A 16,116-nucleotide genomic window follows, 5' to 3' on the forward strand; every position below is an offset into this window, starting at 1 on the left:
ACTCTTCAGCTCACTACAGAGATCACTGGGGAGGCCTCACAGTGATGCCTATGGAGAGATTTTGGAGGGTGACTCCTGGGGCTGAGTAGGTTCTACTCACAAATGTAGATGGAAGGAGAGGCCCCCACAGTGAGGCCTGAGGAGGCACCACCATGCCAGCCTAGCCCCACTGGCCAGGGAAGAGGCTGGCAGGATCCCACAGCCACTGCCCGGACCCACCCAGGCTTTTGCTGTGAACTCCAGAAGGCTCCATGCTGACCCTGACATGGAAGGAGACTGGGGGCTGCCCAGGGGCAGGACAGGTCTGGTTGGCGGGAACAGGGGGCCCTAAAGTGAATTGAATGCAGGGGGTGTGGCACCAGCAGGGGGTGCTGAGGTCCCCAGGCCAGCTCTGGGGGGAAAGCCTTTATCTTGGCCAGGCCTGAGGACCTGGGAGGGTGTCACAGAAAACCAGGAGTTGAGCTGCCTGTAACCTTGGAGGGCCACGTCCACTGCCCAGCCTGCCCAGGTTCACACCCCAGCCCAGCTCTCGGCCAGGAAAAGGGAGGTCACCCAGCACCGAATGTCAGGGGACAACTGTCTCTCCCTCACAGGGAGCAGGCAGCTCCTCATGTCATGGATGGAAACGGATCAGAGGGCTTTGGCCACTCCTCTGGGTGGCCCAGCGGTCTTGAGACAAAGCCTGCCATTTCTAAGCCTGTGCCGTCAATGACAGACAAGAGCCCATCCCCTGTGGGCCGTCTGCCTTCAGACGGGAACCTTCTTGCTCGGGGAACCTGTTGCTCATCCAAGAGCCCTTCCTAGCAGTACCCGCTCCTGGCAGCACCCTCAAGTGGTATGGGATTGTCTAAACATGACTAGCATTAGGAAGGTTTGGGTTTTTATTTATTTGAAAGTCACACAGGCGCATGGTTAAAAAGCTATCTTTGCACTCAAAGGATATAAGGTGGGAAGCAAAAACCACCACCCCCAAACCCCTCAGAGAGGGAGCCCTCCAGATGCCTGCCTGTGCATGCAAGCATGAGTCTCTGTCTCCACTATCTGCCCTTGCATCTCACGTGTTGGGAAACCGCACTTTGGGGATCCACAGTGCTGCTGAGTATCAACACCCGCCGTCCACCCACCTCGTCCCTCTCCAGGGAGGGCATGGGCTCCAGCCTCATCCAGTGAGTGTCCTGGCCCCAACACACATGCACACGTGTGCGAAGACACCTGGCAGGAGGCTCCTGCCCATGGAATCACTGGGCCAAAGGCGCTTACACTGGCCATTGTGCTGATGTTGCCAGATGGCCCCCAAGGAGGCTGTACCAAAACCCCCAGCCAAGAGGAGGTTTCTGAGCTGGGTGCAGGGTCCAAACGCTGTGGGCCCTGAATTCAGATGATCCCTGGCTGAACCAAACCCCTCCTGAGTGCTGGACACAGCTCACCCTGCAGCTGGCCTCTGGGGGCTCTCAGTGAAGATACCCATCTGTCTCGATGGACACCAGCCACTCACGCAGCTGCCCTCTCCACGAATGCTGTCTCAGGTCCTCATCTCCTCCCTCACCTCAACCCCGGGCTCATCCCCAGTCGGCAGGCCTCCTTCCAAAACCGCTCCCCACCGTACTCCCTGGCGGGGCTGCTTTGTCCTTGATGAAACTGGCTCCTGCTCTCTTGGTTCCTCCTGCCTCCCTGTGCCTTGGGAGTGCACTGACATGGAGTGTGCTGACGTGGAGTGTGTGGAGTGCGCTGACGTGGAGTGCGCTGATGAGTGTGTGGAGTGGGCTGACATGGAGTGGGCTGGCATGGAGTGTGTGGAGTGGGCTGACGTGGAGTGCGCTGACGAGTGTGTGGAGTGCGCTGACGTGGAGTGGGCTGGCGTGGAGTGTGTGGAGTGGGCTGGCGTGGAGTGTGTGGAGTGGGCTGACATGGAGGAGTGTGTGGAGTGCGCTGATGTGGAGTGTGGGGAGTGGGCTGACGTGGAGTGTGTGGAGTGCGCTGACGTGGAGTGCGCTGACGTGCCTCCCATGATGCACGGCACTTTACAGTTTTCAAACCTTCTCTCTCTAAGCTTCTCATTGGACCATTCACCCCACAAGTGTGAACTGAGCACATACTTATTATGTGTATGGGGCGTGGGGGCACGAGGTGGCCCCTGCCCAGCAGAGCTCCTGGTGCTGGGACCTTCCATAGCCCTACAAAGGTTCATCTAGCTTCACTGAGCACCTGCTGTTCTCCACACACGGGGACAGAACAGGCCAGGTGCTGCTCCTGCAACCCAGATGGGAGGCAGAGGTAGATGGGTCACTGTAGATCTGAGCTGTGATGGAGGCAGGACAGAGAGGAGCCCAGAGACTCAGGATAGGCAGGCACTCACCAAATGAGGATGCAGGCAGGTGGGCAGGGTGCCCCAGGTGGATGGACAGCAGGAGGCAGGACACAGCAACACCTGCCTGCCCACTGGAAGGTCAGGTCCCTGAGCAGGTCCCCTCGTGTCCACTGCCGAGTGCAGGTACAGGGAAGACGGCTCAGCACGTGGAAGGAAGCTCTGCATTGCATCCAGAGAGCCGAGGGAGTTAGAGCAACTCTGGATTGCTGGAGCAGCTAAGCCTCTGAGAAGTTAATGAAAGTGTCCAGGCCGCATAGTTACTCTGGCAGCTCCCTGAGCTCTCACCTGGTCCTGAGCCCTGGCACCTGCCCTGTCCTTGGCCCTGCTCCATCGGCATGACATCCCCCAGGGGCCAGCAACCCAGCCTGAACAGTAAAGCTCCTAGCCCCGGTCCTGCTGGTCTGCAGGCCTCAGCTCCCTCCCTGCTTTTCCAGGAGTTGAAACAGGGCCTCTCCTAACTCCACTTTGCCAAGAGCCTCTTCTCCCACTGCAGAGAACTGTCATCTGCCTGTAAGTACCAGTGCCAGGTGCTCTGGGGCCGATGTCTCCGTTAGCCCCAAGGTGGAGGCTCAGGGAGCAGATGTGAGCGTGCCTTGCTCATCGCAGTAGCTTCGGACTGCAGGGATTGCAGGGACTGCAGGGATTGCAGGGATTGCAGGGATTGCAGGGACTGCAGGGATTGCAGGGACTGCAGGGACTGCAGGGACTGCAGGGACTGCAGGGACTGCAGGGATTGCAGGGATTGCAGGGATTGCAGGGACTGCAGGGATTGCAGGGACTGCAGGGACTGCAGGGATTGCAGGGACTGCAGGGACTGCAGGGACTGCAGGGATTGCAGGGATTGCAGGGACTGCAGGGACTGCATTGCTCTTGCAGCACCACCCGCCTCCGTGGACACCTTCAGCAGTGAGACAATGCAGGCTCTGCTACAAGAGGTGCTTACTGGGCTCTGCTCTGGTGAGGAGAGGCCTCGCCTGGCAGCCAGACAGAGTCCCAGCAGGGCAAGATGAAAATTCGGGGCCCTCGTTCAAACAGCAAGAGAAGGCTCTTTCCTTCCTTCCAGCGCCCCTCCCTGCACCTGTGATGGTGTTTTTATTTGTTATTTAACGTCATGTGCTCTTGGGCAAGGGGAGGGGAAACTCTCACAGGCACCTGAACCTGTCCCTGTGGCTCCATGCATGGGCCATGCCCCTGATCCCTCTGTGCCCACACCCAGGTCCCTGCTGGGATGAGGGTTGGCAGGGGTCACTGGGTGGCTAAACACCATTCCTGGGGGTGGGGGGAGGAGGGTTGTGCCAAGCCAGGCTCCCAGACCCCAAGTGCAGGCGCATGCCACCATCTCATCAGATGGCACTCACAAAACACAGATTCAGACAAAAGTGTTAATATCAAGATGGTGACGACAGCACCCTCTGGGTGTGGGGCCGCTTGGGTCACATCCTATGAGGCCAGCCCTGGGTCTGAAAGACACCAGAGGAGTCCCTGGATGCCACCAGGACTCTGGGGCTCTACCAGAGGTCTTCAAAGAGGGGGACCATGGGGACGACTCAGGCTAGAAAGTGGGGAGGAAACCATGCCAGGAGGGGGACCAGAGAGTAACCAACATGATCAGATGACACAGATAGGCACCTGCAGGCTCAGGCTTCACAGCTAGAGCTGCAGGTGGCCCAGAAAGGGAGGCCCCACAATGGCTGGATCTACCTGGGCCAGGTGCCTGGGGAGGGCCACAGGTGGGACAGGAATGAGAATGGGCAGGGCTAGCTCTGGAGAACAGGACCTGGGGTTGGGCGGTGCTACAGGGAGGCGTGCCGGGTGCTGAGTACTGTGCTAGCAAAAGACGCTGCTGATTTCATCTGCCCTTGCAAACAGCAGCCTCTCCCCAGGGGAGCACCTGTCCCAGGATGAGGAAGGCCACCTGGACTCTCCCACCCTTCCACGTGGCTTGCTAGCTGTCTTGGGTGACTCTACTGGCCTGCCCGGCATGTAGCTCCCTTCAGTTGAGTGACCACATTCCTGATATTCTTTCAGGGCGTCCCCTCCTCAACCCCTGTGGTTGGGGATGGATGCCTCACCTGGGCCTGATGCCAGTCCAGAGAGGGAGAAGCAAGTGAATGAAGATGCTTGAACACCAGGATCCAGCTGAGTCTGAAATGGTCCACTTCTGTGCTTTTGGTTGGGTGAAGCAATACATTTCATTTTTAGCTTTGAGTTTCTGTCACCTGCAGCTGAGTGTCCTGACCATAGGGACAAGCATAACATACGAACCTCGGGCCTGGCCCACAGTTCCACAGAGGAGGAGTGTGTCTGGACAGTCCAGCCCTGCTCAGATCCCTCCCTTGTTCCCAGCGCCTCTTGGACCAGGGGCTCCAGGTACCCGTGCGCTAGCCCCACACACCTCTGCACCCCTGTCTGCCTACAGTCCCCAGGATGCCAGCCACATGCACATCCCCCAGGGCCACGCTGTTCCCTCTGCCTGAAGCCGCCTGCTTCACCTCCTCTCCAAAGCTTCGTGTGGCTCCTCGAGATCTCATGCTCACCCTGGGGACACCTGGGACCACTGGGTCATCACTTGTCTGTAGGGACAGCTCCAAGGCCCCTGGTGTCACCTCTGTGCTGTCACCTGCTTTATGTCCAGCAGAGGGAGCTCTGAATCAGGAGTTAGGTCCTTGGTGTGCACCTTCCAGCTCCCCAGGGACCTGCCTCAGTTTCCCCAGCTGGGAGGCAGCATGTGGAAGGGAGCGCCAGAGGGGCTCACCCCACCTGGTGGGCATTCTGTAACTTGTGGCCTGCTGTGTCCAGCAGGTGCTGCTATTGAACCTTTGAAATTGAGAAACTGCCCTTTCAATTTTATTTAATTAAATTCCAGCAGACACACGCAGCTAGTGGCTAATGTCTTTGACGGCCAAGCTCAGACTCCAGGCACTGATACTCAACGCTGATCCTTCACACTCCCAGAAAGCTTTAATTAACACACATGTCCACCCCTCTGCCCCCCACCGACCCCCAGCAGAGAAATCAAAGTAGTCTGGGGTGGAGTTGGTGACCTACATGGTCAGGAGGCCTCTGGTTGAGCCTGAAACCTCCAGGTGAGCCTGATGGCTGCACATGTGCCTAGCACTCTGCGAGGTTGGCAAGCTCCTAAGACCTGCTCACCCACCCTGCTCCCTCTGCTGCGTGGAGCTGGGGAGTGTTCAGTGGCCCCTCTCACTCTGCGTGTGGAGCTGGGGAGTGCTCACTGGCCCCTCTCACTCTGCATGTGGAGCTGGGGAGTGCTCACTGGCCCTGCTCACTCTGCGTGTGGAGCTGGAGAGTGCAGTGTCCAGTTTGCCTCTTGCAGCCTCTTGCTTCCCCTTCCCTCTCCAGAGTCCTCCCTGTGGTCCCAGAGCTCCCTGATCTAGCCTTTCCTAAAGCTGACTCAACCACCTCCTGGATTCCCAGGCTGGAATCTGGGGCCAGAGATGGTGCATCTCATGTTTTCAAATGATGCCCAGAAGCTCACAGATAGCAGGGCTGTTCGGTGGATGTCTGGGCTCTGCAGGATTGCGGGAACAGAGGCCTGCTGCTCTCATCCTCCCGCCCTCCCCATTAATACAGGCCTTCTGTCCATCCCTGGCCCTAGGTGGCCTCTCAGCTCAACTTCACAAGCCACAGGGGCTTGGGAAGCTGCAGGAAGGAGCCAGGCACAGCTGTACTAAATAAGCTTCTCCCCACCCCTGCCCCCAACAGGCCTGGGCCAGGCATGCCAGGAAAATAAATCAGACTAACGGACCCAGGTGGGGCCACAGCCACGGGAGGTGTGGTCCAGACAGCTGCCGTGGCACTGAGGAATGCTGACCATCCAGACTGAGACCCATGGTCGGGTCAGCATCCAGCCCAGCCCAGTCCAGCAGGTGGGGAGAAGCCCGTGGTGGGGCCTGCTCTGGGCCCACGCTGGTCTTCTCAGGACGCTCCCTGCTGGCCTCTTGCAACTCTGCCTGTGGCTCTCTAGGCGCTGGCTGGGAGCCAGCGCTCACCGCAGCCAAAGCCCAGAGGGATGGACTTGCGCCAGGATGCTGGCCCCTTGGCAGGATACCTGGGGAGTCCCTGGGCTCTGGGAGGCCCTCAGCGGGGTGCCCAGGGCAGTGACCCCTCGGGAACATACCTACTGCTCATTTTTGTTTTGGGGTCTGCTCTGGAGAGCTCCACCTAAGACTCGGGGAGGAAGCTGTAAACCAAAAAGCATGAGAGGCAGGGCTCAGTCGATCGAGACGTTTATTTTGCCAAGGTTAAGGACATGCCTAGAAGAAAAGCACATGGAGTCACATGTCCTTTTAGTCTGTGGTCTGTGCCTTTCTCCAAAGATGCTTTTGAGGGCTCCACCATTTAAAGGGGGGGAAAGCAGGCTGGAGGGGCAAGAGGGAGGCCTTGGTAATCACATGCTGCAAGAGAAGAGGAGCAGGCAGGGGAATCGTCAGCTGTGTGTTCCTCTCATGCTCGGAAACCTGCACTTGTATGAAATAAGGTGAACGTCTCCTGTAGAGATGCTTCACCTGTTATCTGTAACTACCTGCTTAGGAACAAAAAGAAAGGCAGCTTCTCACATGACTTAGCTTTTAGTTTAATTTTTTTCTTGTGGCAGAGTGAATTGGGGTCCTGAGTTTGTTTTTGTTTTTGTTTTTGTTTTTGTTTTGAAACAGAGTTTCGCTCTTGTTGCCCAGGCTGGAGTGCAATGGCGTGATCTCAGCTCACCACAACCTCCGCCTCCAGGGTTCAAGCGATTCTCCTGCCTCAGCCTCCCAAGTGGCTGGGATTACAGGCATGCGCCACCACGCCTGGCTAATTTTGTATTTTTAGTAGAGATGGGGTTTCTTCATGTTGGCCAGGCTGGTCTCAAACTCCCAACCTCAGGTGATCCGCCCGCCTTGGCCTCCCAAAATGCTGGGATTACAGGCGTGAGCCACTGCACTGGCCTTGTTTTGCGATGGAGTCTTGCTCTTGTTGCCCAGGCTGGAGTGCCGTGGTGCAGTCTCAGCTCACTACAACCTCCGCCTCCTGGGTTCAAGCGATTCTCCCACCTCAGATTCCCGAGTAGCTGGGATTACAGGCGCGCGCCACCCCACCCAGCTAATTTTTTTAGTAGAGACGGGGTTTTGCCATGTTGGCCAGGCTGGTCTCCAACTCCTGGCTTCAAGTGATCCCCACCTGCTTCAGCCTTCCAAAGTGCTGGGATTACAGGTGTGAGTCACCGCGCCCAGCCCCTCCAGACCATCTGAAAACAGGAAACTAGCCAGCCTGCCTGTCTCACTTCGAGCTTCTTAATGCCGTTGCCAGCCTCAGAAGCTGGAAGCCCCTCCTGTGGGCCTCTGATGCACTTGTCCGGAGCCCTGCGGTCCCCTGGAGTCCTTGCTCTGTGGCCACAGGGAGGGTTGCTCCAGTGCTGGCAGGCTCTGGCCCCCCAAGCTGAGGAGGAGGGGACCGGCTCAGCCACTTTTGGTGAGGGCACTTAGGGTTGTTCAGCAGGAGTGGGGCTGGGTGCGGGAGGGTTGCCTGTCACAGGGGTTACCGGCCCACCTTGCCCAGCATACACCTGCTGAGCTTCCTGGGAACCCAGGCCTGAGGCCTGGACAGGAATTGGAGCTTCTCCTCCTCCCTCCCACCTCTTTCCTCCTCTTCCCTCCCACCCCTTTCCTCCTCCTCCCTCCCACCCCTTTCCTCCTCCTCCCTCCCACCCCTTTCCTCCTTCTCCTCAGCTTATGTGGGCTCCAGGTCCAGCCTCATTCCAGCCGGCACGGCCCGGAGGTGAGCAGGACCTGGCCTCATGTGACTGCAACCACAAGCCCAGACTTTCGTTGCAGCCACTGACCCAGAATCCCAGGACTGCCAGGACTGGACGGCCCAGACGCAGTGGTTGTGGGGCCCACAGGTGGAGGCAGGCTGGACCCCGCCCCAAGGTTTTCCCGCCACAAACAGATCTCTAAGCAGGACATGGGCAAGGGTGGGGAAGGGAACCCGAGATCCTGCAGTACCACACCAGGCCCCCAAGGCCCCTCTGTCCCAGGCCCTCGTCAGGCAGATCTGGGTGTGGGGCATGGCCATGCCACAGCAGGCCAGGATGGTGAAGCAGCCCGGCGAATTTCACCCCAAAATACGTGTGACAAAAAGAGCCAAACTCTGTACAATATTTAAAGGGTTTATTCTGAGCCTAATACCGGTGGCCATGGCCTGAGGTACAGTCTTATTATGTCTTGAGCACATGTGTCCCGGTGGTTGGGTGACAGCTTGGTTTTATACCTTTTAGGGAGACATCGGCATCAGTTAGTACATGTGAGGTGTACATTGCTCAGGTTCAGGAAGGCAGAACGACTCAAAGCAGGGGGTGGGGCCTTACGGGTCCTGGGTGGGGGCTTATGGGCCCTAGGTGGGGCTTTACGTGTCCTGAGTGGGGGCTTACGTGTCCTGGGTGGAGCCTTACAGGTCCTAGGTGGGGGCTTACGGGTCCTAGTTGGGGGCTTACAGGTCCTAGGTGGGGGCTTACGGGTCCTGGGTGGATTGTGGATTCAAAGATCTTCTGATTGGCAGTTGGTTGAAAGAGTTAAGTTATTATCTAAAGACCAATAGGAAGGAGCATCTGGGTTAAGATAAGGGGTTGTGGAGACTGAGGTTCTTACTATGAAGATGAAGTCCCATAGGTGTCTGTCCTTAAAGACAGTAGATGGCAAATGTTTCCTATGCAGACCTTTAGAAGGTGCTGGACCCTCAGGTAACCTCTTCAGGATTGGGAGGGCCTGGAAGGGGAAAGAGCTAGTTATGTTAATAGAGATTCCTTACAGACACAAATTTTCCCCCACACAAGATGGCTTTGCAGGGCCTTTTCTTTCTTTCTTTTCTTTCTTTTTTTTTTTTTTTTTTTTCTTTGAGATGGAGTTTTGCTCTTGTTGCCCAGGCTGGAGTGCAATGACGTGATCTGGGCTCACTGCCACCTGTGCCTCCTGGGTTCAAGCGATTCTCCTGCCTCAGCCTCCGAAGTGGCTGGGATTACAGCCATGCACCACCACACCTGGCTAATTTTGTATCTTTGGTAAGGACAGGGTTTCTCCACGTTGGTCAGGCTGGTCTCGAACTCCTGACCTCAGGTGGTCTGCCTCCCTTGGCCTCTCAAAGTGCTGGGATTATAGGTGTGAGCCACCGTGCCCGGTCTTGATTTTTTTTTTTTTTTTTTTTGACGGAGTCTCACTCTGTCGCCCAGGCTGGAGTGCAGTGGTGCGATCTCCGCCCACTGAAACCTCAGCCTCCCAGGTTCTAGCAATTCTCCTGCCTCAGCCTCCCGAGTAGCTGGGACTACAGGCACACGCTGCCACGCCCGGCTACGTTTCTGTATTTTAGTAGAGACAGGGTTTCACCGTGTTGCCCAGGCTGGTCTTGAACTCCCGAGCTCAGGCAATCCACCCGCCTCAGCCTCCCAGAGTACTAGGATTACAGGCGTGAGCCACCACGCCCGGCCAATAGGGCCTTTCCAAACTATGGCAAAGAAATGTATTTGGGGATAAAATATTTTTCTTTCCTTGTTTGTCATGTGATATTATGCCAGAGTCAGGCTGGCATTCGGGATCTTACAGTCTGTTTAGTCAGTTTGGTGTTTTTTTTTTTTTTTTTTTTTTGGAGATAGGATCTCCCTCTGTCATCCTGGCTGGAGTTCAGTGGCCCAGCTCAGTGCAGCTTGGACCTTTCTGGCTCAAGCGATCCTCCTGCCTCTACCTCCTGAGTAGCTGGGAGGACAGGTGCACACCACCACACCTGGCTAATTTGTTCTTTTGTTTGTTTTGAGAGATGAGGTCTCATTATGTTCCCCAGGCTGGTCTTGAACTCCTGAGCTCAGGAGAGCCTCTGGCCTCAGCCTCCGAAAGTGCTGGGATAACAGGCGTGAGCCACTGCGCCTGGCCTGTTTTGTCAGGCTTAAGAGCTCGATTTTAATGTTAACGCTGGTCAGTCGTTCCTGAACTCCAAAAGGAGGAGGGTCTCACGAGGCCTGTCTGGCCCCCACCTTCCTGTCATGGGCTGAACTTGTTTTTCAGATTTCCTTGAGTACCGTTGGCCAAGAGGGGGCTCCATTCAGTCAACTAGGGGCTTGGAATTTTTTTTTGGCTCACATATGGTGCCCGGGCGTACTCACTGCTCTAAGTCAGAGGCCACTGAAGGGCGGCAGATGCTGGAAGAGGCTCTGCTGTGATTTTCCCTTTTCTGCCTTAGGGCCGGCCCCACCATGGGGAAGCGCAGTCACCTTCCACCGCTTCCCTGAAACCCCTTTTCTGCCTTAGGCCGGGCCCCACCATGGAGAAGCGCAGTCACCTTCCACCCCTTCCCTGAAACCTCAGAAAAGAGGGCAGCAGCAATGCAGCCTTACCTGGACGGACCTGTGCCCCAGATAATGTCTCCTCTGGAGGTCATTCGAATTCCAAAGGGAATCACTTACAAGTTAGTTCCTGTCTCTGGAGTCCCTCCCTTCTCCCCGAAGATCACTCATGCCCCATCAAAAGAACCGTCCACACTCCCCGTCTCCCCTCCCTGATGAAGAAGGGTACAGGAGCACTGGCCTCCCGGCAGGTTCTCAGGCCATCGCCCTCCTGCGGCCCCACCCCACGCGTGGGGATCATGTCTCCCCCGGCAGCGGCTGCCGCTGCCTCCCTGGACAGGCTTCCTGGCCCTCCATCTCCGCTCTCAGCCAACTCATTGTGCCCCTCTCTGAGCCTCGGTTTCCTCACCTCTGAAATAAGCTCTGTGCCCATCTCGAAGGGTAACTGAGGAGATCAGTGAGGGAATGTGGGTGATGGCCTTAGCATAGGGCTTGGCACACTGTCCTGGTTGGGACCCTCCCAGTGAATCCCAAAGCAAGCTGACATCTAGCTGTCAGAGAGGAGACCATTCCTTATATTGTCTTATACTTAATTTCTTGTTTGCTGAAAAAGTAGAAGTTAGAATTGGCAGAAGTGAAAAATCACAGACAACTGGGGACCACATTTCAGACCTGGTGTTAAAATTCAACCTCTGACCTCAGGGCTTGTGCTATCTATGGATTCAGACATTGTGTAAAAAAGCATCATGAAACTCCCTGTTCTGTTCTGTTTCGTTCTGATCATTGGTGCATGCAGCCCCCAGTCACATACCCCTTGCTTGCTCAATAGATCACGACCCCCGCCCCCACAGCCCCTTTAGAGTTGTGAGCCCTTAAAAGGGACAGGAATCACTTATTCGGAGAGCTCGGTTTCTAGGACGTGAGTCTGCCGACGATCCCAGCTGAATAAAGCTCTTTCCTTCCACAATCCAGTGTCTGAGGAATTTTGTCTATGACTCCTCCTGCTACAGCTGGAGGGAAACTCTCTTCCTTCCTAGCCCCAGTTGTCTCTTTGTAACTATGATAGTTTGCTGCCGATGGACACGGCAAGTCTGTATGCTGAGATGCTGGGTTGCAGCAAAGAAGGGGTTAATCATAGGGTCACTAAAGAAGTTGCTGGGAGGGAACCTCAAATCCATCTCCCAGAGGAATCTGGGGCTGGGGTTTGTTGTTGTTGTTGTTTGGTGTCTGTTTGGTGTTTGTTTGTTTGTTTTTTGAGACAGTCCCACGCTGGAATTCAAGGGCACAATCATAGTGAAATGGCAAAGATTTCCTTGTCCCCTTGCAGGGCCTGCGATGGGGACTGGCTCGCTTCTTTGGGGCCCCGCTGCTCAAACCCCTAGGGGAGCATATAGATGGGCAGGGAGCCCCACGGCAGCTTCTAGGGGTGAATGTTTACAGCTGAACCTCCAGTGGGCATGTGCTACAGGGCACTCTCTTAGTTTAGCCGTCCGTAGGTGGCTTGTGTTAACCAGCTCAGTTAGGCCTCTGCCTTACCGCAAGGACAGAGGGCTTTCTGTATCCCAGGGTTCTTGCTGTGCCGGAAGAATCAGATCACACATGGGCTTGGAGAATGAGTGCAAAGTTTGATTGAGTGGAAGTAGCTCTCGGCAGATGGGGGAGCCAGAAGGGAGATGGCTTTCCCCTGGAATCAGGCCGCTCAGCAGCCGGGGCTCTCCTCCAACCATCCCAACCAAACTCTGCATCGTTCCACTAGCTGATCGCCTGCCGGAGTCTCAGTGTGCTCTTCTGCCGGCGTGCTCCCCCTGATGGCCTCTCGACGTCCAGCCGCTTGTGTGTTCTGCCAATGGGCTCCTCTCCGTGTCCAGGGCTTAGGTGCCTGCCCGCTAGGTCTCAGGGTTTCTATAGGCACCAGATGGGGGCGTGGCAGGGCAGGGTGGTCTTGGGAAATGCAACATTTGGACATGAAGGCAGGGTGTGTCTATCCTCACCTAGGTCCGTGGGCACAGGCCTGTGCGTGGAGCCCTAGCCAGGGACCATGCCCTCCTCTAGCCAGCACTTCCCTGCCCACCACTCCTGCAGCCTTCAACTCCTGGGCTCGCATAATCCTGCTGCCTCAGCCTCCTGAGTAGCTGGGACCACAGTTGTGCACCACCATGCCCAGCTATGTTTTTAAAATTTTTTTGTGGAGATGGAGCCTCGCTATGTTGTCCAGGCTGGTCTTGCACTCCTGGGTTCAAGCAGTCCTCCTGCCTTGAGGCTGGGGTTTTCCAGAGTTTTGGAGTGGGCCAAATGTGCAGATGGTTGATTAGTAGAAGGTTGCAGGGTGAAGCCACAGGACAGAGTGAAGAAGCTGTTCTCATGTGGATCCCATCCCTCCATGAGGGTCTTCAAACTGGTTGCTGGAATTTGGGGTCTGAAAAACATCTTAAGGAATCAACAAAAGCCTCATGACTGTAATATCAGGGATCGCATCTGTGGGAACACAGTGGTCACGACCGAGGGCAACGTGGTGATGTTTAGCAGCGAGAAAGCGGGCCACCGTGCAGTCTGATTAATGCTTAATTATAATAATATTTCTGTCCAGAACCCGACATGCAATTCTTGTCAGCCCTGTGGAGACAGTTTTGTTACAGGAAAGGGGTCCGGATCCAGACCCCAAGAGAGGGTTCTTGGATCTCCTGCAAGAAAGAATTCAGGGTGAGTCTGTAAAGTGAAAGCAAGTTTCTTAGGAAAGTAAAGGAATCAAGAATGGCTACTCCATAGTCAGAGTAGCCCTGAGGGCTGCTGGTTGCCCACTTTTTTGGTTATCTCTTGATGATACGCTAAACAAGGGGTGGATTATTCATGCCTCCCCTTTTTAGACCATCTAGGGTAACTTCCTGATGTTGCTATGGCATTTGTAAACTGTCCTGGCGCTGGTGGAGAGTGAGGACGTCCAGAGGTCACTCTCGTGACCATCCTGGTTTTGGTGGGTTTTTGTCGGCTTCTTTGCCACGACCTGTTTTATCAGCAAGGTCTTTGTGACCTGTATTTTGTGCTGACCTCCTGTCTCATCCTGCGACTTAAAATGCCTTCACCGTCTGGGAATGCAGCCCGGTGGGTCTCAGCCTCATTTTACCATTTTACCCAGCTCCCGTTCAACACGGAGCTGCTCTGGTTCACATGCCTCTGACGGTTTCACCTTCTGCTCAGAGCATTTGGACCTCCACAGGCTCTGACTCAGCCCTCTTATCCCAGGCTGATCCCATCCCCGTCTAAAAATCCCACTAACTTCCTTCTGAGAAAGTTGAGAGTCTTGTTTATACTAAAGTGTTAATGACTCACAAAGCATTCCCAGAGGAAAAGTTAACAGGAGGAGACTGTGAGGCTCTGGCGGTGAAAGGTCAGGCATGAGCCCTGGGGGAGATGTTTTCTTCTCTGGAGGCCCCTCCTGAGACCCCCCATCTCTGCACAGGAAGACGAACCCTGTGCCCAGCGGGTCCACCTATCTGCCCACGTGGCCCCAACCCCAGGCTTCATGGAGTAGAGCAGGGCTCATTCGTGTGGCACCCACACGCAGTTTCAGGGCGTGGACTTTCCCGGATGGCTGGGTGGCTTTGGGGGAGGTGTGAGCTGTTGGTGGAGAATGCTGAGCCCGGCCCTGACGACGGTCCTCTTTTCCTGCCTTAATAGGCTAGTCCCCATCACTGTGGGGGGCAATTTGGGGATATTCTCCTCCAACTCCTGCTGGTTCTGAATCTTGCAGGGAGCTGCAAATCCCAGTCACTGTGGGGTCTTGGGGCTTCTAGGAGTCCCTGCTGGGCCCAGGGCTTTTTTCTCACTGACCTGGAGGCCTCTCCCCACGGCTCCCCATCTGACATCTTCTCAGCTGGGAGACTTAATTGTAAAGACTCACAGGGATCCAGGGGGCATCACAGGGGGCCCTCCTAGGTACTGACAGATGTTTATTCATTTTGAAAAATGGGCAAATAGCAAATAAAGATGTTTAGGGTATGTTTGGAAGAAAACAGCAAAATAGTAACAGCAGTGCTTACCGCTCAGCGGGGAGAAGGCATATGGGTTTTCCCAGCTTTTATTTGGAAATCATTGTAGATGCAGAATTGCAAAGAAGCCTAGAGGTGTCCATGCACCCTGCCCCACCCCACGGTATCATCCTGCAAAGCTGCAGGGCAACTGCCAAATCCAGACACACACGCCCCGGTGCCCACAGGGATGGCTCAGACATCGAACTTCGCTTTCTTTATACTCCCAGTATTCCCGACACTTCTGGAATAGGCACATGACCATTATTTTTAGCTCCTTATTTCTTTTTATTTAATTAAATAAGCAACATATGGATAGTCCTTGTTTTGAGAATTTTGGGCCGGCCGCACACGGCAAAGCAGCTGAGCGCCCCTCAGCAGCTCCCTGCACAGTTACGCACTGGGATGGCACTGCGATGCGTGTGGAGAAACACCTGCTGGGTTTGGAGGTGCACAGGACCTCGGGGCGATCCCACCGGAGGAGCGGGGCTCGGCTTATGGCCCAGCTAACCCCAACTCCCCAGTGGGCCCCAGGGCCTTTCCTTCCACTTCCAGGAGTGACACCAACCTTGTCTCCTCTCCGAGCCCCAAGCAGTGGGAAGAGAGGGTCCCATAACAGGCCATGGCAGCGGCCTCTGCTGCCTGCCCACCTCAGAGGGTCCCCAGCTTGAGAGTTCAGAGCAAACCTGGGTGCTGCATGTGTCTCTCCCCTGGAAGAAGCAGGCTGGAGACAGTGGCCCCTCTTCCCACCTCCCCGGTGCACTGCGGGCAGACTGGGAACCAGGCAGCAAATCCACCCAGCTTGAGGCCCACGTCCTCCTGAAAGGGCCCCAGGCCCACACCCGGGGTTTTGCTGAAGTGACCAAAGGTAACCGCTGTGCTGAGGGGGCGGTGGAGGACAGGGAGGGGGCGAAGGCGAGGTGGGCGCTGGAGGACGTGGGGGTGAAGGCGAGGTGGTCGCTGGAGGACAGGGAGGGGGCGAAGGTGTGGTGGACGCTGGAGGACAGAGAGGGGGCAAAGGCGAGGTGGGCGCTGGAGGACAGAGAGGGGGTGAAGGCGAGGTGGGCACTGGAGGACAGAGAGGGGGCGAAGGCGAGGTGGGCACTGGAGGACAGAGAGGGGGCGAAGGCGAGGTACCCTGAGATCATCCCAGAAAACACACTGGGAAGTTCTACCTTGTGTCTAGCCTAACTCCTTTGCTGGCCCTCAGGCCCTTTCCCGACAGCCCTCCCCTCCTATGCCCCTGAGCTTCCTGCTGCCTCTCCCTCTGCGCCCTGCAGCCCTGGCTTCTGGGCTCTATCCTCAGCAGGGCCTGCAGACACCCCAGAGGCCTTAAGAGCCTGGGAGGGGTTTCCAGCCACACCCTTCACTTTGATTTCTGCAGGAAACCAGGT

At 56.1% G+C, this 16,116-nt stretch overlaps 4 annotated features.

Annotated features, from left to right (window-relative positions):
• Positions 7,859–8,813: an enhancer, noted in NCBI's record as "H3K4me1 hESC enhancer chr20:61857740-61858694 (GRCh37/hg19 assembly coordinates)". NCBI's record gives its function as "activates a minimal SCP1, AML or CMV promoter by ChIP-STARR-seq in primed H9 embryonic stem cells {active_cell/tissue: H9 hESC(primed)}" and the evidence as "EXISTENCE:reporter gene assay evidence [ECO:0000049][PMID:30033119]".
• Positions 12,371–13,140: an enhancer, noted in NCBI's record as "H3K4me1 hESC enhancer chr20:61862252-61863021 (GRCh37/hg19 assembly coordinates)". NCBI's record gives its function as "activates a minimal SCP1, AML or CMV promoter by ChIP-STARR-seq in primed H9 embryonic stem cells {active_cell/tissue: H9 hESC(primed)}" and the evidence as "EXISTENCE:reporter gene assay evidence [ECO:0000049][PMID:30033119]".
• Positions 13,214–14,413: an enhancer, noted in NCBI's record as "CDK7 strongly-dependent group 2 enhancer chr20:61863095-61864294 (GRCh37/hg19 assembly coordinates)". NCBI's record gives its function as "activates an origin of replication core promoter dependent on BRD2, BRD4, P300/CBP, MED14 and CDK7 cofactors, with strong dependence on CDK7, by STARR-seq in HCT116 cells {active_cell/tissue: HCT116}" and the evidence as "EXISTENCE:reporter gene assay evidence [ECO:0000049][PMID:35650434]".
• Positions 15,177–15,372: a silencer, noted in NCBI's record as "fragment chr20:61865058-61865253 (GRCh37/hg19 assembly coordinates)". NCBI's record gives its function as "represses an EF-1alpha promoter that drives an FKBP-Casp9 reporter gene in an ReSE screen in K562 erythroleukemia cells {active_cell/tissue: K562}" and the evidence as "EXISTENCE:reporter gene assay evidence [ECO:0000049][PMID:32094911]".

This window comes from Homo sapiens, chromosome 20 (genome assembly GCF_000001405.40).
Source record: "Homo sapiens chromosome 20, GRCh38.p14 Primary Assembly".
NCBI lineage: Eukaryota > Metazoa > Chordata > Mammalia > Primates > Hominidae > Homo > Homo sapiens.